Here is a 22,400-nt window from a genome sequence, read left to right on the forward strand (position 1 = left end):
TGGTCGGACACCCTTGAAACGTGGGTGTATAATCAGAGAGGTGTCCCTGCAATGATTAAACACCAAAGGAAGGCTGCCTTCCCTGTCCGTGACCGGCGCCGGAGTTTTGGGTCCACGGATAAAACGTGTCTCCTCTGTCTCTACCAGAAAATGAAAGGAATTGAAATTAAGGGAGAGATTGAAGTGTGGCGCCAAGATTGAAAGGAGAAACAGGTTGAGGGATAGTGAGGGAGGTTGGAGAAGAGGGTAAAAAGAGGCCGCTTACCGGATTTGAAATTGGTGAGAAGTTTCTTGGGCTGGTCGGTCTGAGGACCTGAGGTCATAGGTGGATCTTTCTCACGGAGCAAAGAACAGGAGGACAGGGGATTGATCTCCCAAGAGAGGTCCCCTGATCTGAGTCACGGCACCAAATTTTATGCGCGTCCGTGTGAAGAGACCACCAAACAGGCTTTGTGTGAGCAACATGGCTGTTTATTTCACCTGGGTGCAGGTGGGCTGAGTCCGAAAAGAGTCAGCGAAGGGGGATAAGGATGGGGCTGTTTTATACGATTGGGGTAGGTAAAGGAAAATTACAGTCAAAGGGGGTTTGTTCTCTGGCGGGCAGGAGTGGGGGTTGCAAGGTGCTCAGTGGGGGTGCTTTTTGAGCCAGGATGAGCCAGGAAAAGGACTTTCACAAGGTAATGTCATCAGTTAAGGCAAGGACCGGCCATTTACACTCCTTTTGTGGTGGAATGTCATCAGTTAAGGTGGGGCAGGGCCTATTCACTTCTTTTGTGATTCTTCAGTTACTTCAGGTCATCTGGGCGTATACGTGCAGGTCACAGGGGATGCGATGGCTTGGCTTGGGCTCAGAGGCCTGACAAAGGCTACTTTTTAAAAGGTGTTTTTAAAAGGGCTAGTAACAAAGACTTGAAGGGCACCCTGTAACCAGCACGTTTTGACAGAAAACTGCTACAATACCACCAGCAGCTCCCTTCCTACTCTCCACATATTACTGGCCACAAAGACTATGCTACACTGTGGCTTCAAACTCTGTATAAGACTCTAAGAGAGCCAACTTCAGCCTGGTGTTTCCTCATGGAGTCCCTCACTAGGTTCCACACATACATTTGGGCAAGTTCCTTAAAGTTGCTATATTACAGTATAAAGGAGAAGCAGTCAACAAACCTCACAATCTTTGCAAGCCTCACTCTTCAACTAGTCACAGCTGATAACTATTCTCCTGAAGTCTTGTTTTAAAGAGACCATTTACCCCAGGCCACTACAAGCCACAGATTCTGAGTATCTCATTTTGTTTCATCATGGAAGTTGTTTCATGTTCAAGCACAATCTGGTTAATAACAAATCCCAGATTTCTAACTTTGAGGTTTTGTTTCCTAGGATCACTGTTGGTAGGTACCACGTGTTTTTATCTAGACTAGTGAGGAAAATAGAACTCACTTTAGATTTCTGAATAAAAGAGATTGAGTGAAGGGTATTGCTTATAAACGTGCTTAAGGGGATGAAAGAGCGAAAGGAAAAAGAGGTTACTTTAAAATGAGGATATTACTATTGCTTCTGAACCCGAATCTGGCATGAATGTCAACGGTACTGATGTTCTGCTGCTGCAGTTAAAACTGCACAACCTCTTCTGAATAGGAATCCAGGAGCCTATACTACGGCTGAGAAGCCACACTCCCAGGGCTACACAGCTGGTGCCTTAGCATCAGCACAAGCAGAAAAAAACAACTGAGGCATTTTCCCTTCTTCCTATCTTCCATTTTTCCATGAATGCCTCCCATTGCAGGACCCAACTAGAAGCCAGCTTACAAAGCAGTCTTGGGAATGCGATTATGCAGTTTGCAGCTTCCACATCATCCCCCACACCTACTTGCAGGGAATGCAGTTGAAAATTGAGCTGCTCAAACAGAGAAACGACAGCTGAAACAAGAATGCTATTAACATATGTCAGCTCACTTATTTCCACCTCACCACATCCATGATGGCCATGCTATGTAGGTGACTATCTTCAACTTTCTGGCAGTCCTGTTGGCCTAGAGCAAGGCAGGATAGAAGTTACAAGAAGAGCAGAGTTTACCAAGTTGTATGAAAGTGTAAGATTTTCTGTTATATTTCAAGTAATGAAATTTCAACTTATATGTGTGTCTACATATAGCTAGCATACTCTATCAAATAGCATCAGTGCAATGCCTTAGACAGGCATCTTCGTTAATGAATATTTTTGGGGTATCCTCTAACATGCTGTTTTGTCAAAGGGAAAAGAAGCAAAATAAGTGCTACAGATTAGCTTCTATAAAGCATACACCTCTGCTTCAAATTCTGGCCATTAAATGTCAGTCTTCCGATATCCTAATTTGTTGGCCACCCACAACATCTAAGAAAATTCATATCACTTTTGTGCACCCAAAGATGAATACTAACTTGAGCAATCACATTACGTACATTTTCCTTTCTTTATAGATATAAAAAATGTGATGCATGTGCTGTGATTCACAGAGTCAATAATTTTGTAATTGACTGGAAGTCGTTGGTGACTGATTCAGGGTTGCCAGAATTTATAATCAGACTCTAGAGATGTAAAAATATGTCTAGTGTACTATATTAAAAACATCTCCTGTTCTGATTAGATGAGATCAAATGGGCAAAAGATCTTTACTCAGACATCGATGGAGTTAAATTTATCGAAAATCTACACAGAATTTGAAAAGCAATTTTTTAAAATAAAAATCCGATATCCAAAGTTTTAAGAGCCTGATTCAAAGACTATTTCTTCCCCTCTCCTATTCTGTGTCAAGCTTTTTATAACATTTCTATTATTTCAACACAAATATTTAAGTGCCTACTATATATCTGGCACAGTTTTAAGTATTTGTACTACCTCATTAAGCAAAGCTAAAGATGCTTCCTGACTTTGTCCTTGTAGAATTTCTATATTAACAGAAAGAGAGAAACAAGTAATGCATAATAAGGAAATTTTATTGTATATTTGAAGGTTACAAAGAAATTAGGAGTATCAAATGTCAAAGTTATGATTTTAACTAGAGAGGGTCAAAGAAAAAGTCTAGAGAAATTTAGAAGGACTTCAACCAAATAAAAATGAAATTACAATTTACCAAAATTTGGGGCATATAGTAAAAGCAGTGCTTAGAGGGAACTTGATAACATTGGATATATACATTAGAAGAAAATATCTAAAAATCAGTCATCTAAGTTTCCACCTTAGGAAACTAGAAAAAGAAGAATAATTTAATCTTAAAGCAGTAGAAGAAAAATTAAAGTAGAAATCTATAAGATTAAAAACAGGAAAACAACAGAGAAAAATCAATAAAACCAAAAGCCGGTTCATTGAAGAAGAAAATCAATAAAAATGATAAATCTCTCAGCAAACTAACCAAGAGAAAAAGAGAGAAGACACAAATTACCAATGTCAGAAATTAAAGAAGATTCATTACTACTGATTCTATGGACACTTAAAAGTAAAAGAATATTTAATAACTTAGATGAAATGGACTAATTCCTTCAAAGATACAAACTACCAAAACTCAAACAAGGAAGACTAGGTCATCTTAATCTGCCTATATTTGTTACAGAAATTGAATCAATTACTATCCTTCCAAAAAAAAAAGAGCATCAGGCCTAGATGTTGTCACAGATAAATTCTACCAAACATTTAAGAAAGAAATGATGCTAACTTCCTACAATCTCTTTGGAAGGCAGTCTTCCAAAAAATAGAAGCAAAGAGATTTCCTCATTCCATGAGGTTAGCATTATCTTAATAACAACCTATATCGTTATTGACTTAATTTGCCACTCCTCTGAAGAGACTTTTAATTTGAAAACAAAGATTTGATATCTACTAGTGTGACTGTCACTTTCTGTGGAACCTGGATGCCTTTGAACCACTTAGTCCTGTGACAGAGGTGATTGAACAAAAGGCTGATCGTTGATCCTACAGTCAGGAAAATATGAAAAATCTTAAGTGATCTAGAAAAAAACTGATGCAATTAGTTTCTTGACTTTTCATTTGTTAAAAAAGGTTTGAAAATCCTTGGTGCTGCATTATTGATAACATTAGAAGAATCTATTGTTCATTTCAACAAAGCCAAAACCTAACATTTGCCTAAATAATCTGGCTTTGCTTTGACCTTCAGCCCCTTTGCAAGCTTCACCTCTCTTCCTCAACCTCAGTATTCCAGGAACTTCCTGTGTGTGGTCTGGCCTGTTCCCTCTCCCCATTCCTCCTTTCCTGGTTTCCTCTCCATTCTTGTAGTCCTGGTTCTTCTTTCTCTCTACCTCTGCTGCCACCCACGGTCTTGGCACAGACAGCAACATTCAGATGTGTTGTCTGCCCCATATCAAACATCCAGATATCTGGATATCATATAATGGACTGAAATTTTAATTTTCCTTCCAAGAGTTTGCCTGTGATTTAGACAGAGTCTTTGTATTGTCTGGTTCAGCTCTGGGAATTGTCAAATTATCTGTAAAGAAGAATAAAACAGACCTAAGGATGAGGGAATCCAGTGAGTTTAAAGAGATCATCCTAAACTTGACCTTTGCTGTCAGTTTTACTGAGATAAGAAACATCTGCAAAATCTATATCTGCGTACTAAAATGCCTTTTGTTTAGAAACTGAACCTTTGAGGGGGTGAGGTCAGAGAACAGTTAGGAAATTGTTTCTTTTTTGTAATATGCTAAGAACTTCCATCCCAGAGAGGGGTAGGAGGATAAACTTCCTCTTTAAAAGCTATTAACCATATCCCTGGAAAAAGCAGAAGCTTAGACTGAATAAAACAATGCAATAGAATTTCATATTCTTTGATTAAGGAAAGTATTACTTCTCAATATATGCAATGGACCATGTAATTTCCATTTTTGACTTTCCCAAAGATATTGCCACCATATTTGAAAATTGAAAATAATATTTAGAAAAATCAAATCTAGAAATTACAAATAAAATATAATTCACAAATTAAAAATAAATACTCCTAATAAATTTATGTAGGCTTTATGATATAGAACTCTTGATCATTGGGTTAATTCACTTCTTTGAACTTCATAATGATAAAATAACTAAAAATTTATATCCTTATTTTCCCTCCAAAAATCAATTAACCTACAAGTCTACAAACAAAACAAAATCCATGAAATACTAAAACAATTCTTAAAATGAAGTTTATAAGGATTTGGCTGTCTGGGATTACAAGATTATAGCCATTAAAAATCTCCAGAAGGGATTTAATTTTCTGCCTTAGGCGCTTGGCCCTTTTACACATAAAATAAGTATCTAGGTGCAAAGATAAATCTGGTCCTCCTGCTGTATCTATGTAATTTAAATTTTCAGACGTGCTTTAGATACAAAAAAAAAAATGACAAGTTTCACAATAGTGAAAACTTCACAATTAATGTTTTTGTAAATAAGTAATTAAAACATTCTGTGTTATATCTGTTCTATTTTGCTGATTAATTTGGAAATACCATCTCATACCTTTTAAATTCCATATAAACAGAACTGCTTAAGTAAAATATGATACCAGTACTCTGAATTAGTTTCCAGAGATTCTTGGGAAGATGTTCTATTTTAACTTGAGGGCCAGTTAATTATTTTTTAAAATTATGAAATAATCAAAAATTGCATTTGTAGGAAGATTTTGCTTTGATGTGATTTTTTATCCCTAACATTACAAAAAAAAAAAAAAAGACTGCAAACTAAGTCCAAACACTTGACATTTGAATCTACAGTGAGAATAGCTGACATGCATCATTTCAAGTATAAATCATCATAAATAATGATTATTATAACCAGAATTTTCAGGCTACTGCCAAGTCTCTGAACTACATAGGCCTCTCTTTTCTTTTTTTCTTTTATTATTTTTTGTAATAAAAAAGAAAACATAGCATAAATGTGCCCTCTTAACAGCTTTAAGTGTACATTATAGTATTATTAACTATATGCGTTTTGTCATATAACATCTCTCTAGTACTTTCATATGCCATGGCTGACATTCTATATTCAGTGAACAACTCTCCATTTCCCCCTCCCTGCAGCCCCTGACAATCACCTACTTTCTGTTTCAATGAGTTTGATTACTTTAGATACTTTATATAAGTAGACATCGGTCTCCTTTGGGTAATTTTCCATTATGTCATAACAGTAAATATTAATATGTGCTCCTTATGCTATAGTTTTATCATCCCAGCTGTGGTGGATATGGTGGACTGATTTGCTCAACTATATTTCTTTCTAGTTGTACCTTCTTTCTAGTTGTAGCTTCCTGAACTGTGGACACTGAAAACCAGAATCAGTATCTCCCACACTCACAACTGAGTTCTGGATGTGATTTTGGTTTTGCCAGTTAGATCCATTCATGTAAGATTTGGAAGCAGAAGTAAGACAGAGGTTGAAATCCTTGTGCTTTTGGAAGTTGCTTCTGGCACACAAAAATATGGAGACATAGGTTCTTCTGCAGTGGCGTATCAATGTTCAGTCACTAGCTTTGTGGGTACTGAAAAGCAGTTGCAGTAGTGTTGGTGGCAACTGGAATCAAATCAGTTTTCTGGCATCCCGGTGCCAACTTTGTTGGTGTCAAGAGGCAGCTGGAGCAGTAAAAGTGGGAGCCTCCTGATCCTGGATTCAACTACAGCAGATTGCTCTTGAACTCATCAATTCTAGCAGCCCTCCTGATCCTCTTTTCTTTTCTTGGGTTTTGTTTGTTTGTTTTAGATGGAGTCTTGCTCTGTCACCCAGGCTGGAGTACAATGGTGCCATCTCAGTTCACTGCAACCTCCACCTCCTGGGTTCAGGCAATTCTCCCGCTTCAGCCTCCCGAGTAGCTGGAATTACAGGCACCAGGGATGATGATCCCCCAACTTTCTAACTGTAATAGAGGGTGGCTGCTTTGTTGGCAGGTCAGCTTAGCCATTTCATTCTACAAGTCTTCCCTAGGGACATAACCTAGTGCCCATTCCTTTCAACCTTTGCAGTGATTTATTTAAGCATCTAATTCTCTGTAGTAAGCCACTTTTCACTTAAAATTGCCAAAGTGATTCTTATTCCTCCAACTGGCCCTTGGCTGATATAGCAGCTGAGAGAATTATAGCCTGTTTTAACTAGATTCCAGCTTCAATGCCCCTCCCTCTGCCCTCAGTTTATTAGATGCCTTTGGCTTTAATTAATGTCAAAAATGACTCATGATCAGTCATTTTAATGCTAGTCTCTTCAATTGCTCAGATTGGATTACTGCCGCAAAAATAACAAACTAGCATTTTGGTATTTATTCACTATAATTTTGAAATACCACACTAATGCCAATATTTCATTTTTAAAAGTACTCAGGATTCATATTTTTAAAAACCAATGAAATTAAAAATATAATAGATTTTAAACAGAAAAAAACTTAAATAAAAATGTAAATTAATGTAGATATAAATCTTAAACACATTTTCTAATTCTGATATAACCATTAGGTGATAAAAATGGAATAAAGTATCATTGAAAAATACAACCTAAACATATAAAAATAATGTAAAAGTTAAGCATTTTAAGATGAAACATTATTTTGCCTATTTTTAAATATGCAACTTTAAAAGACAAATGCAGCAGCAAGTGTGCATTAAGATATTTTGAACAACATATTTTAAGCTTCAGCTACAAATTCTGATTTTTTTTACTTATAAATAGAATGTCTAGAAAATACTGTCATGACAATCCAAACATTATCCTCTAGCTCTTTCATCTTCAAATAATCTTATCTCTTGTCTTATAATTTCAAATAAATATTTTTAGAGACTTTTGTTTAGGGGCAGGGTCAGACACTAAAATCTTTATACTGAGAGTGAAATGTTCTTGTTTTAAGAAAGCATTTCCAGTCTGTCTTCCTCTTCTTTGGTTTCATTGTGTATAGATGGGGAGTCTGATTTAGAATTACTTATATCTATTTTGATTTCATATTTCCTTGATACTTTGAAAAGTCATCTAACTACAATAAAATCTGTTCTTTCAGTAGAAGCTTTGCAGGACTCTAATAATGGCTGCTTATGAAAGTCATACAGACAAGGATGTGGACTGGGATATCATTTTTGTATTTCAGCCATCTAACTTAATCTCAAGATAAAAATCACTTGGATTTCAGGATTTTTTTAAATTACCAGAAGAACAGTTCATAGGCACAAACAAGGGGTTCTCCAAATACCTCAGACACAGACCTCTCCTTCGCCACATACATTTTTCTGTTCTACATCTCACTCTCCCTCCAACCCACATTTTACCCTTCCTGACTCTCAAAGGATTGCACTCTCTTTCCTTATTGTAAAATGAGAAGCCTCCTAAGAAAAGCCCTTTCATCATCATTTCTCATCAGTCCAAGCCCTTTTGTCTTTTCTTTCTTTTTTATTTCCTATCCCAAGGGAAGAGGTTCCCTTGCTTTGTGAAATTTGTCAAGATCAAAATAGAGTCACTTGTGTAAAAATGCACACACACTCACACATAGAACAAAAAACACCCTGGCAGATAGAAACAGGGAAGGCCGTGGAGAGAAGGATTCTCACAAATAAATGCCCCATAACAGAAACTATCACAAAAGACTAAAAACTGTGAACTTGCACAAAGGCCATCACAATTTTACACACAAAAAAATACTTCTGCAGGGACATCTGCCCAGCAACTGCCTGTCCAACCTTGAACTGGTGCCACCCTTGTTATTGATCTTTGAGGCCAAGGATAATTATCTCAAAACAATTATGTCATTTTTCCTTTCAAAACTTTTGTCTTCCCTTACCTCCCTAAAACTAGTGCACATAGGTCACTATGGCACGAATATTACCATTGCAGTGCCCTATTCCCCCCCAAAAATATCATTTTCTTTAGAGAGCCTCTCTGTTTGTTATTTAGGTTGATACTTCTCACTTCTAATGCTTTCCCCTCCTGTCTCCTAGAAACCTCATTCCATTAATTCCCCAACCCCTCCCCAAATTTCAATCATATCTAACTTTATTTCCAAATGTCAGTTCTCTTCATATTTTAAAAATTACCCTTGACCCTATTATTTCTTATCTATCATCTTTCACTCTTACAGAAGCAGTGAGATGTGGAGTTCCTGAGTAGGCACCACGGTGACCATTTTCCTGGATTTGCAGCCCAGCTCCACCATCTGTGAGCTACGTGACCTCCAGTAAGTTACTTATCCCTAGATGTAAAGTGATATTGCTATTATTAGCTTGCCATCTTTTATTTTAAAAATTGACCATATTTTCTCTTTTTTCTTCTAAAACTTCTTTTCTTGGCCAAGCATAGGTTTAAATTTAAAGTCATGTCACAGATAATGTAGAAATGCAACTTCATTTCTCTATATGATTGTAATGTACTCATGAACCCCATTTTTACTCCATAATTGATAATGCTGAAATTAGCCCTCAGAGGAAAAAGAGGAGGGGTTGATTTTGATGGTTGCCTCTGGTGCATTAAAACTCTGTTTAAACTTCCTCCATTTTATGTGTTTCATTACATTTAATAGAACAGAAGGAAGCTCAAGTCAGCCAACACCCTATTGACAGCCTTCTGGTGAAAAAGAGTGCATAGCAGGTTTAGCCTTAGAATCAGAGAGACAAATCTTTATCCTACAGTTCAATTCAATTTCATTGACAAAAGAAGGCAGTGAGATGTAGCTTGTGAGGGGAGTTATTTGACCATAGCATTATAGCTAAGAAAGTAATTTTCCTGTGCAACTGCAGTATGTATCTTTCTGAAGGCTGGATGAAAACAGAAAAAGTACTATGAATAGTATTCCATTTATTCTCAATTTTTTTAGTCGGATGACTACTCTATAATATTTTTCATTACATGTTATTTCAATAAACATCTAAGAAAATGCATATATATTTACTAAAACAAAAAGCTTAGAATTTTTTTTTAAAAAATGTCCTTAGGGCACACTAATGTAAGGAAGTTTGAGTATCAAATGCATTATCCGCAGTAGCTGCTAAATTGATCCACACCAAAACAGCAGCAAAACGGTTTTGGAGATTTTATTCCTGACTACATACACTTTTCTTACAATGGAGTGTGAAAGGAACAAAACTCACATTCCCCTGACCCTGCTTTTCTTTACGCATCGTCTTGTCTCTCTCGCTATATTGGAGCACAATTTCAGGGTGAAGTCAGGTTAAATCAAGAAGGGTATCCTGATTAGATGAGACTTCTAACAAAATCAATCAAGTCTAAATGAGATTGGGGTTCTATGATGAAGAGCTGTGAGGGATAATTAGGCAGACTGTGGATGAAAGATTATTTATTTCTGCTCCAAGAAGAAAATGTGCTTTGGGAGTTTCTTCCCTCTTAAAGTCAACCAAAACTCAGTTTCCCTCCCATTTTACTTCTTCCTGTTACTTTCTTTAGAAAACAGTATTCACAAATGACAATTACATAATTAATTATTTGGATAGCCAACTTAACAGTAGCAGGTGCTTAGCTAGTGAGCGCAGTTTATGCAAGAGTGAAGACATCTGGTCCTCTGGGTCACGGTGACATAGGGCTCAGGTGCAGGGACGGGTGCACATCATGACACCAAGGTAAATTGATGGTCAGACACTAAACTGCAGCCGACAAAAAAAATTATTGTAGAATTGAGTTGTGATTATTGCATTTTCCTTGTAGGCATTTAAAAATAAATGAATTTGAAGTAGTCAACTCAGGAAAGAAGCACAGGAAATAAATGAACAATTCATGTACCGAAAAAACAAATTGCTCCCTTTATTATTGGGGAAAAATATGTGCATTGCACTAAATACGCTTATTTTTCGGATAGTCTGATGAAATAGGTTTAGCAGTATCTTAATATGTGACACAAATTCTAGAACTATACATTAGCCAAGCCCATTTGTTTATCTATAGAAATGCTAAAATATTTTCATTACAAATAAGAAGAGTTCAAGACTATCCCTTCAAGTATGGCTAACACAAAATATCAGAAATTTAGCGTTGTTTATTTTTCTAAGTTTTGCTTTAAGTATAACAGACATACACGATAGTATGTAAATTTTAATTATGTAGCTCAAAGAATTTTTAGAAGAAAACATCCTTATCCCACTGCCACACAGATCAAGGTATGAAGTATTACCAGCATCCTGGGAATCTTTTCTGTGCCGCATCCTAGTAATTACCACCTCAAAGGTAACTGCTTCAACTTCTGTCACCAAAAATTAATTTTGACTGTTTCTGAACTTTAAACTAATGGAATCATTCAAACTGCATTTGCATGGGCACTTAGGTGTCTGCTTTTTTCACTCAATAGGTATCTTTGTGAGATTTACCCATGGTACCACAGCAATTTCCCCCATTGCTTAGCTCCCCTGCAAAATGTATCAAAACTTACTAATGTATTCCATTGATGTGCATTTCAATTGCTTGCTGCTGTTACAAATAGCACCACTGTAAGCATTCCAATACATGTCTTCTGGTGATCATATACTGTGTAAACATTATCTTGGGAATAAGCCCAGGAGTGGATTTGCTGAGTTGAAGATTATGTGTGCTGTCAAACACTTTTCCAAAATGATTTTGCAAATCTGATTTCCTACCAGCAGTATATAAAAGTTTTGGTTGTTCTACATTCTCATCAACTCTTGGCATTGTCAGATTTTTAGTGTTAGCCATTCTGGGAGATGTATAGTATCCTTTCATGTTTTAACTTACGTTTTCCTGTTGATTTAAAAGTTGAGTATCTATTATTTTGAATATTTATAGGCCATTTGGATAAATTCCTTTGGGAAGTTCTGGTCCAAATATTTTGCTATGTATTAATTAGATTATCCTACTTTTTAAAAATTAATTTGTGGGACTTCATTCATCTGTACAATCCTGTATTAGATATATGTTATAAATGTATTCTTCCCATGTTTTGACTTTCATTCTCTTAATAGTAACTTTTAATAAAAAAGAATTTCTAATTTTAATATAATCAAATTCATTCATTAAGCTTTTCTTTTATGGTTATAGCTGTTTGTTTTCTGTTTACTAAATCTTTGTTTAACAAATCTTTGCCTGTGTATTGGCCATAAAGATATTCCCTGTCCCATATTATCTTCTAGAAGTTTTATTGTTTTTATTTTCTTCAATTCTATCTGAATTTTATTTTTTTTAATTGTAAACTTTCATGTCTTTACATTTGTCTTATTTAGATACTTGACATATTTATCATATAAACATACATACTTTCCTTTCAGGGGATTATAGCTTGACTTATCTACTATCCATGCATCCAAGTTCCTTGTATATAGGGTAACGTCACATAACTAGAATGGCTCCAGTTTGACCTCTTCTTTCCCTTCTTTCAGTCTTTTATATATATATACTTTAAGTTCTGGGGTACATGTGCAGAACGTGCAGTTTTGTTACATAGGTATACACATGCCATGGTGGTTTGCTGCACCCATCAACCCATCACCTACGTTAGGTATTTCTCCTAATGCTCTCCCTCCCCTAGCCCCTCATCCCTTGACAGGCCCCAGTGTGTGATATTCCCCTCCCTGTGTCCATGTGTTCTCATTGTTCAACTGCCATTTATGAGTGAGAACATGTGATGTTTGGTGTTCTGTTCTTCTGATAGTTTGCTGAGAATGATGGTTTCCAGCATCATCTATGTCCCTGCAAATAACATGAACTCATCCTTTTTTATGGCTGCATAGTATTCCATGATGTATATGTGTCACATTTTCTTTATCCAGTCTATCATTGATGGACATTTGGGTTGGTTCCAAGTCTTTGTTATTGTGAATAGTGCCGGAATAAACATACATGTTCATGTGTGTTTATAGTAGAATAATTTATAATCCTTTGGGTGTATACCCATTAATGGGATTGCTCGGTCAAATGGTATTTCTAGTTCTAGATCCTTGAGGAATTGCCACACTGTCTTCCACGATGGTTGAACTAATTTACACGCCCACCAACAGTGTAAAAGCGTTCCTATTTCTCCACATCCTCTCCAGCATCTGTTGTTTCCTGACTTTTTTAATGATCACCATTCTAACTGGCATGAGATGGTATCTCACTGTGGTTTTGATTTGCATTTGTCTAATGACCAGTGATGATGAGCATTTTCTCATATGTTTGTTGGCTCCTTAAATGTCATCTTTTGAGAAGTGTCTGTTCATATCCTTTGCCCACTTTTTGATGGGGTTGTTTGCTTTTTTCCTGTAAATTGGTTTAAGTTCTTTGTAGATTCTGGATGTTAGCCCTTTGTCAGATAGATAGATTGCAAAACTTTTCTCCCATTCTGTAGGTTGCCTGTTCACCCTGATGATAGTTTCTTTTGCTGTGCAGAACCTCTTTAGTTTCATTAGATCCCATTTGTCTATTTTGGCTTTTGTTGCCATTCCTTTTGGTGTTTTAGACATGAAGTCTTTGCCCATGCCTATAACCTGAATGGTATTGCCTAGGTTTTCTTCTAGGATATTTATGGTTTTAGGTATTACATTTAAGTCTTTAATCCACCTTGAGTTAATTTTTGTATTAGGTGTAAGGAAGGGGTCCAGTTTCAGTTTTCTGCATATGGCTAGCCAGTTTTCCCAACAACATTTATTAAATAGGGAACATTTCCGATTGCTCATTTATGTCAGGTTTGTCAAAGATCAGATTGTTGTAGATGTGTGGTGTTATTTCCAAGGCCTCGGTTCTGTTGCATTGGTCTATATATCTGTTTTGGTACCAGTACCATGCTGTTTTGGCTACTGTAGCCTTGTAGCGTAGTTTGAAGTCAGGTAGTGTGATGCTTCCAGCTTTGTCCTTTTCGATTAGGATTGTCTTGGCTATGCAGGCTATTTTTTTGGTTCCATATGAAATTTAAAGTCGTTTTTTCTAATTCTGTGAAGAAATTCAGTGGTAGCTTGATGGGAATAGCATTGAATCTATAAATTACATTGGGTATTATGGCCATTTTCACAACATTGATTCTTCCTATCCATGAGCATGGAATGAATGTTCTTCCATTTGTTTGTGTCCTCTCTTATGTCCTCGAGCAGTGGTTTGTTGTTCTCCTTGAAGAGGTCCTTCACATCCCTTGTAAGTTGTATTCCTAGGTATTTTATTCTCTTTGTAGCAATTGTGAATGGAAGTTCACTCATGATTTGGCCCTCTATTTGTCTGTTGTTGGTGTATAAGAATACTTGTGATTTTTGCACATTGATTTTGTATCCTGAGACTTTGTTGAAGTTGCTTATCAGCTTAAGGAGATTTTGAGCTGAGATGATGGGGTTTTCTAGATATATAATCATGTCATCTGCAAACAGGGACACTCGGACTTCCTCTCTTCTTATTTGAATACCTTTTATTTCTTTCTCTTGACTGATTGTCTTGGCCAGGCTTTCAATACAATGTTGAATAGGAGTGGTGAGAGGGGCATCCTTGTCTTGTGCTGGTTTTCAAAGGGAATGCTTCCAGTTTTTGCCCATTCAGTATGATATTGGCTGTGGGTTTGTCATAAATAGCTCTTATTATTTTGAGATACATTCCATCAATACCTAGTTTATTGAGAATTTTTAGCATGAAGGGATGTTGACTTTTGTCAAAAGCCTTTTCTGCATCTATTGAGATAATCATGTGGTTTTTGTCATTGGTTCTCTTTATGTTATGGATTACGTTTATTGATTTATGTATGTTGAAACAGCCTTGCAGCCCAGGTATGAAGCCGACATGGTCGTGGTACATAAGTTTTTGATGTGCTGCTGGATTCAGTTTGCCAGTATTTTAGTGTGAATTTTTGCATCGCTGTTCTTCATGGATATTGGCGTGAAATTTTCTTTTTTTGTTGTGTCTCTGCCAGGTTTTGGTATCAGGATGATGCTGGCCTCATAAAATGAGTTAGGGAGGATTCCCTCTTTTTCTATTGTTTTAAATAGTTTCAGAAGGTATGGTACCTGCTCCTCTTTATACCTCTGGTAGAATTTAGCTGTGAATCTGTCTGGCCCTGAACTTTTTTTGGTTGGTAGGCTATTAATTACTGCCTGAATTTCAGAACTTGTTATTGTTCTATTCAGGGATTCGACTTCTTCCTGGTTTAGACTTGGGAGGGTGTATATGTCCAGGAATTTATCCATTTCTTCTAGATTTTCTAGTTTATTTGCATAGAGGTGTTTATAGTATTATCTGATGGTAGTTTGTATTTCTGTGGAATAAGTGGTGATATTCCTTATATCATTTTTATTGCTTCTATTTGATTCTTCTCTCTTTTCTTCTGTATTAGTCTGGCTAGCCATCTATCTATTTTGTTGATCTTTTCAAAAAACCAGCCCCTGGAATCATTAATTATTTGAAGAGTTTTTCGTGTCTCTATCTCCTTCAGTTCTGCTCTGATCTTAGTTACTTCTTGTCTCCTGCTAGCTTTTGAATTTGTTTGCTGTTGCTTCTCTAGTTCTTTTAATTTTGGTTTTAGGGTGTCAATTTAGATCTTTCCTGCTTTCTCTTGTGGGAATTTAGTGCTACAAATTTCCCTCTACACACTGCTTTAAATGTGTTCCAGAGATTCTGGTACATTGTGTTTTTGTTCTTATTGGTTTCAAAGAACATCTTTATTTCTGCCTTCATTTCGTTATTTACTCAGTAGTCATTCAGGAGCAGGGTGTTCAGTTTCCATGTAGTTGTGCAGTTTTGAGTGAGTTTCTTAATCCTGAGTTCTTATTTGATTGCACTGTGGTCTGAGAGACTGTTTGTTATGATTTCTGTTATTTTGTATTTGCTGAGGAGTGTTTTAGTTCCAATTATGTGGTCAATTTTAGAATAAGTGCGATGTCGTGCTGAGAAGAATGTACATTCTGTTGATTTGGGGTGGAGAGTTCTGTAGATGTCTATTAGGTCTGCTTGTTCCAGAGCTGAGTTCAAGTCTTGAATATCCTTGTTAATTTTCTGTCTTGTTGATCTGTCTAATATTGATAGTGGGGTGTTAAAGTCTCCCATTATTATTGTGTGGGAGTCTAAGTCTCTTTGTAGGTCTCTATGAACTTACTTTATGAATCTGGGTGCTCCTGTATTGGGTGCATATATATTTAGGATAGTTAGCTCTTCTTGTTGAATTGATCACTTTACCATTATGTAATGCCCTTCTTTGTCTCTTTTGATCTTTGTTGGTTTAAAGTCTGTTTTATCAGATATTAGGATTACAACTCCTGCTCTTTTTTGCTTTCCATTTGCTTGGTAAATATTCCTCCATCCCTTTATTTTAGCCTGTGTGTGTCTTTGCATGTGAGATGGGTCTCCTGAATACAGCACACTGATGGGTCTTGACTCTTTATCCAATTTGCCAGTCTGTGTCTTTTAATTGAGGCATTTACTCCATTATATTTAAGGTTAATATTGTTATGTGTGAATTTGATTCTATCATTATGATGTTAGCTGGTTATTTTGCCTGTTAGTTGATGCAGTTTCTTCATAGTGTCAATGGTCTTTACAATTTGGTATGTTTTTGCTGTGGCTGGTACCAGTTGTTCCTTTCCATGTTTAATGCTTCCTTCAGGAGCTCTTGTAAGGCAGGCCTGGAGGTGATGAAATCTCTCAGCATTTGCTTCTCTGTAAAGGATTTTATTTCTCCTTTGCTTATGAAGTTTAGTTTGCCTGGATATGAAATTCTGTGTTAAAAATTCTTTTCTTTAAGAACGTTGAATATTGACTCCCACTCTTTTCTGGCTTATAGGGTTTCTGCAGAGAGATCTGCTGTTAGTCTGATGAGCTTCCCTTTGTGGGTAACGCAAGGTTTCTCTCTGGCTGCCCTTAACATTTTTTCCTACATTTCAACCTTGGTGATTTTGACAATTATGTTTCTTGGGGTTGCTCTTCTCACGGAGTATTTTTGTGGTGTTCTCTGTATTTCCTGAATTTGAATGTTGGCCTGTCTTGCTAGGTTGGGGAAGTTCTCCTGCATAATATACTGAAGAGTGTTTTCCAACTTGGTTTCATTCTCCCCATCACTTTCAGGTATACCAATCAAACATAGATTTGGTCTTTTCACGTAGTCCCATATTTCTTGAGGCTTTATTCATTCCTTTTCATTCTTTTTTCTCTAATCTTGTCTTCTTACTTTATTTAATTAAGTTGTTCTTCAATCTCTGATATCCTTTCTTCCACTTGATCAATTCAGCTATTGAAACTTGTGTATGCTTCACAAAGTTCTTGTGCTGTGGTTTTCAGCTCCATCAGGTCGTTTATTTTCTTCTCTAAAGTGGTTATTCTAATTAGCAATTCCTCTAACCTTTTTTCAAGGTTCTTAGTTTCCTTGCATTGGGTTAGAACATGCTGCTTTCACTCGGATGAATTTGTTATTACCCACCTTCTGAAGCCTACTTCTGTCAATTCATCAAACTCATTCTCCATCCAATTTTCTTCCCTTCCTGGTGAAGAGTTGTGATCCTTTGGAGGAGAAGAGGCATTCTGGTTTTTGGAATTTTCAGCCTTTTCGCACTGGTTTCTCCCCATCTTTGTGGATTTATCTACCTTTGGTCTTTGATGTTGGTGACATTCGGATGGGGTCTTTGAGTGGACATGCTATTCCTTTCTGTTTGTTAGTTTTTCTTCTAACGGTCAGGCCCCTCTACTGCAGGTCTGCTGGAGATTGCTGTAGGTCCACTCCAGACCCTGTTTGCCTGGGTATCACCAGCGGAGGTTGCAGAACAGCAAAGATTGCTGCCTGTTCTTTTCTCTGGAAGCTTTGTCCCAGAGGGGTACCTGCCAGATGCCAGCCAGAGCTCTCCTGTATGAGATGTCTGTTGGCCCCTAATGGGAGGTGTCTCCTAGTCAGGATACACAAGGGTCAGGGACCCACTTGAGGAGGCAGTCTGACCCTTAGCAGAGCTCAAATGCTGTGCTGGGAGGCCCGCTGCTCTCTTCAGAGCTGTTAGGCAGGGACTTTTAAGTCTGCTGAAGCAGCGCCCACAGCCGCACCGTCCCCTGGGAGCTCTGTCCCAGGGAGATGGGGGTTTTATCTATAAGTCCCTGACTGGGGCTGCTGCCTTTTTTTCAGAGATGCCCTGCCCAGAGAGGAGAAATCTGGCAGTCTGGCCACAGTGGCCTTGCTGAGCTGTAGTGGGCTCCATCCATTTCGAACTTCCTGGTGGCTTTGTTTACACTGTGAGGGTAAAACCACCTACTCAAGCCTCAGCAATGGCAGAAGCCCCTCCCACAACCAAGCTCCAGCATCTCAGGTCAATCTCAGACTCCTGCTGTGCTGGCAGCAAGAATTTCAAGCCAGTGGATCTTAGTTTGCCAGGCTCTGTGAGGGTGAGACCTGCTGAGCCAAACCACATGGCTCTCTGGCTTAGGTACCCCTTTCCAGGGGAGTGACTGGTTCTGTCTCACTGGTGTTCCAGGTGCCACTGCGGTATGGAAACAAAACAAAACAAAACAAAAAACTCCTGCAGCTAGTTCAGTGTCTGCCCAAACAGTCACCCAGTTTTGTGCTTGAAACCCAGGGCCCTGGTGGGGTAGGCACCAGAGGAAGTCTCCTGGTCTGTGGGTTGTGAAGACCATGGGAAAAGCACAGTATCTGGGCTGGAGTGCACGATTCCTCAGGCTCAGTCCCTCACAGCTTCCCTTGGGTAGGGGAGTAAATTCCTCGACCCCTTGCACTTCCCGGGTGATATGACACCCCATCCTGCTTCAGCTTGCCCTCCGCGGACTGCACCCACTGTCCAACCAGTCCGAGTGTGATGAACCAGGTACCTCCATTGGAAATGCATAAATCACCTGCCTTCTGCGTCAATCTTAGTGGGAGCTGCAGACCAGAGCTGTTCCTATTCGGCCATCTTCCCTGAATTTCATTTTTATGGCTGATATGAAGTAAAGATCAATGTTCTTCATTTCACAATAGGAATAGCCTGTTGTTCTAGCACTATTATAGACAAGGCCATCTGTTGTGGTAATATTTGGATTATAATTAGGTGACCAAATATGTGTGGATCTGTTGCTGAATTACACATTCTGTTCCATTGACTTATTTGTCTATCCTTATGCCAGTACTATACACTTGATAATTATATATTTAAATGAGACCAGAAATCTAGTAATTTAAGTCTTCTAACTTTGTTCTTCAAAGTTACTTTGCCTATTCTCAATTATTTGCCTTTTGATATAAATTTTAATCAGCTTTATATTTCCTCTAAAACAACGACTGTAATTTTCACTGGGATTGCATTGTATCTATAGATAAATATAGCAACAAATTATATATTGTAATATTTAACAACTTTATTCATGAATGCAATATATTATTTCATGTATTTAGGACTTCTTTAGTTTCTTTCAGTAATGTTTTCAGGTCTTCTGTGTTCTTGTAGATCTTTCATTAAATTACTTTTATGTCTTTGGTAATTATAATTTTCATATTAAAAACTAATTTTTATAATAAAAAATATAAGCTTTGTCTTAAAGAATTGTTTACCAATATATAGAAATACCTCTGATTTTTGGACATTGACTTTATATCACAAATGTTTCTAAATCCATTAATTAAGTCTAACAGTTTATCTATAGATTCCTTGGGGTTGTCTACATAAATAATCATTACAATTGAAAATGACATCTTCATTTCTCTTTGACTTTACCTGATTTTCTTTCTTATTTCTCTCAAGTGGCTGGGACTTGTATTACAGCGTTGAATAGAAGTTGTGTTCAGTCTGTGATTTCACCTGAAAATCTTCCAATATTTTACTATTAAATATAAAGTTAATGTAGATGTTTTGTAGATGCCCTTTATAAGATTAAGGAGAATATTTTCTGTTCTTAATTTTGTGAGATTTTTATTTACAATGAATAAGTACAAACGTGATCAAATATTTTAATATATATATTGAGATGACCATATTATCTATCTTATTTATTCTCTTAATGTTGTTAATAGCATTGATTGATTTTCACATATTAAACTAACCTTCATTTGCAGAATAAACCACCTGGACAAGGATGTATTATCTTTCTAGTACATTGTAGATATTATCATTTTCCCTTTCAATCATCTGTATTAGAATATTTTTTCTCTTCTTTCCTTATTTATTGATACATAATACTTGTACCTATTTATAGAGTACATATGATATTTTGATACATGCATACAATGTGTAGTGACCAATTCAGAGTATTTAGCATCTCCATTACCTCAAAAATTTATTATTTGTGATGGAAAAATTTCAAATTTTCTGTTCTGTTTTGAAACATACAATAAGTTATTGTTAACTATACTCACCTGATTGTACTATCAAACAATAGAACTTATTCCTTCTATACAACTGTATCTTTGTGACCACTGACGAACCTCTCTCTTCATCGCCTCTCTCCCCACAACTACTCAAACCTCTGGTAACTATCATTCTATGCTCTACCTCCATGAGGTCAAGAGTTTTAGCTTCCACATATGAGTGAGAACTTGCAATATTTGTTTCTCTCTACCTGGCTTATTTCACTTAACATAATTACCAGCAGTTTCACCCATGTCCCAGTAAATGACATTCTTTTCTTTCTTTTTTTTTTTTCTGAGACAGAGTCTTGCTCTGTCCTCCAGGCTGGAATACAGTGGTGCAATCATGGCTCACTGTAGCCTTGACATCCTGAGCTCAAGCAATCCTCCTGCCTCGGTCTCTCAAGTAGCTGGGACTACAGGTGCACACCACCACTCCCAGGTAATTTTGGTATTTTTCTGTAGAGATGGGGTTTTGTTATGTTGCCCAGGCTGGTCTCGAATTTCTGAGCTCAAGTGATCCACCACCTCAGCTTCCCAAAGTGTTGGGATTATAGATATGAGCCACTGCACACAGTCTAAGATTTCATGTTTTTTTAGGGCTGAATAGTATTCCATTGTGTATTTATACCTTTTTTATCCATTCATCCATTGATAGACTGGTTGATTTCATATCCTTGTTCTTGTGAATAGTGTATCAATAAATATGAAGGTGCAGGTATTCGTTTTATATACTTATTTCATTTTTTTGATAGATACCCACTAGTGAGTTGCTGGATTGTATAGTTCTATTTCTAGTTTTTTGAGAAACCTCCATACTATTTTCCATAATGGCTATACTAATTTAAATTCCCATCCACATCGTATGAGTTCCCTTTTCACATCATCCTTGCCAGCGTTTGTTACATTTTGTCTCTGTGATAATAGCCATTCTGACTGGAGTGATATGATACCTCATTGTGGTTTTGGTTTGCATTTTCCTGATGATGAGTGATGTTGAGCATTTTTTCATATACCCGTTGGCCATTTGTACGTCTTCTTCTAAGAAATGGCTATTCATATCCTTTACTCACTTTTTAATGGATTTATTTATTTTGTTGTTGACTTGTTTGAATTCCTTGTCTATTCTAAATACAGATGAATAGCTTGCAAATATTTTCTCCCATTCTGCAAGTTGTTCCTACACTCTATTGTTTACTTGACTGTACAGAAGCTTTTCAGTTTAATGTAGTCATGTTTGTCTATTTTTTATTATTGCCTGTGTCTTCAAAATTTTAGCTATAAAAACCTTTGCCTAGACCAATGTCCTTAAGCATTTCCCTATATTTTCTTCTAGTAGTTTTATAGTTTTGGATCTTATATTTAAGTCTTTGGTCCATTTTGAATTTTTTTATATGGTAAGAGTTAGGGGTAGAGTTTCCTTCTTCTGCATGTGGATATTTCCTCAATGTATTTTCTTCACGTCTTTGTCAAAAATGGTTGGTTGTAAGTATATGGATTTATTTCTGGGTTCTTTATTCTTTTCCGTTGGTGTATGTGTCTATTTTTATGACAGTATGATGCTGTTCTTGGTACTATATATTTGTATTAGATTAAAGTCAAGTAGTGTAATGCCTTAAATTTTGGGTTTTTGTTTGTTTATGTTTTGCTCAGGACTGCTTTGGCTATTCTGGCTCTATTTGGTTCCATACAAATTTGGGGATATTTTTATTTCTATGAAAAGTGTTCTTGGTATTTTGATAGGGATTGCACTGAATCTGCAGATTGCCTTGAGTGATATGGTCATTTTAACAATATTAATTATTCTGATCCGTGAGCAAATAGTGTCTTTGCATTTGTTTGTGTCTTCTTCAATTTCTTTTCTCACTGTTTTGTAGTTTTTCATTATAGAAGTCTTCACCTCCTTGGTTAAATGCATTCCTAGGTATTTTATTTTTTATAGTTATTATTAATGGAATTGAATTCTTGATTTCTTTTTTAACCTAGTTTGTTATTGTTTTATGGAAGTACTACAGATTTAGTATTCTAATTTTATATCGTGCACTTACTGAATTCATTTATCTATTCTAGGAGATTTTTGGTGGAGTCTTTAGGTTTTTCTATATATAAGATTGTGTTGTGTGCAAAGAGGGACTTTCTTTTTTCCAGTTTGGATTTCTTTATTTCTTTATCTTGCCTGATTGTTCTGGA

General features: G+C 36.7%; 1 long non-coding RNA gene across 1 annotated transcript, besides 1 other annotated feature; it reads left to right on the top strand.

Annotated features, from left to right (window-relative positions):
* Window positions 323-986: an enhancer, noted in NCBI's record as "OCT4-NANOG hESC enhancer chr1:215588487-215589150 (GRCh37/hg19 assembly coordinates)". NCBI's record gives its function as "activates a minimal SCP1, AML or CMV promoter by ChIP-STARR-seq in primed H9 embryonic stem cells {active_cell/tissue: H9 hESC(primed)}" and the evidence as "EXISTENCE:reporter gene assay evidence [ECO:0000049][PMID:30033119]".
* Window positions 8,779-20,652, top strand: LOC124904598 (uncharacterized). Its single transcript, XR_007067047.1, has 3 exons — window positions 8,779-8,890; window positions 9,075-9,170; window positions 20,515-20,652. It is a non-coding gene; the product is annotated as an uncharacterized LOC124904598 (long non-coding RNA).
* Window positions 20,653-22,400: the final 1,748 nt, after the last annotated feature.

Source organism: Homo sapiens, chromosome 1 (genome assembly GCF_000001405.40).
Source record: "Homo sapiens chromosome 1, GRCh38.p14 Primary Assembly".
NCBI lineage: Eukaryota > Metazoa > Chordata > Mammalia > Primates > Hominidae > Homo > Homo sapiens.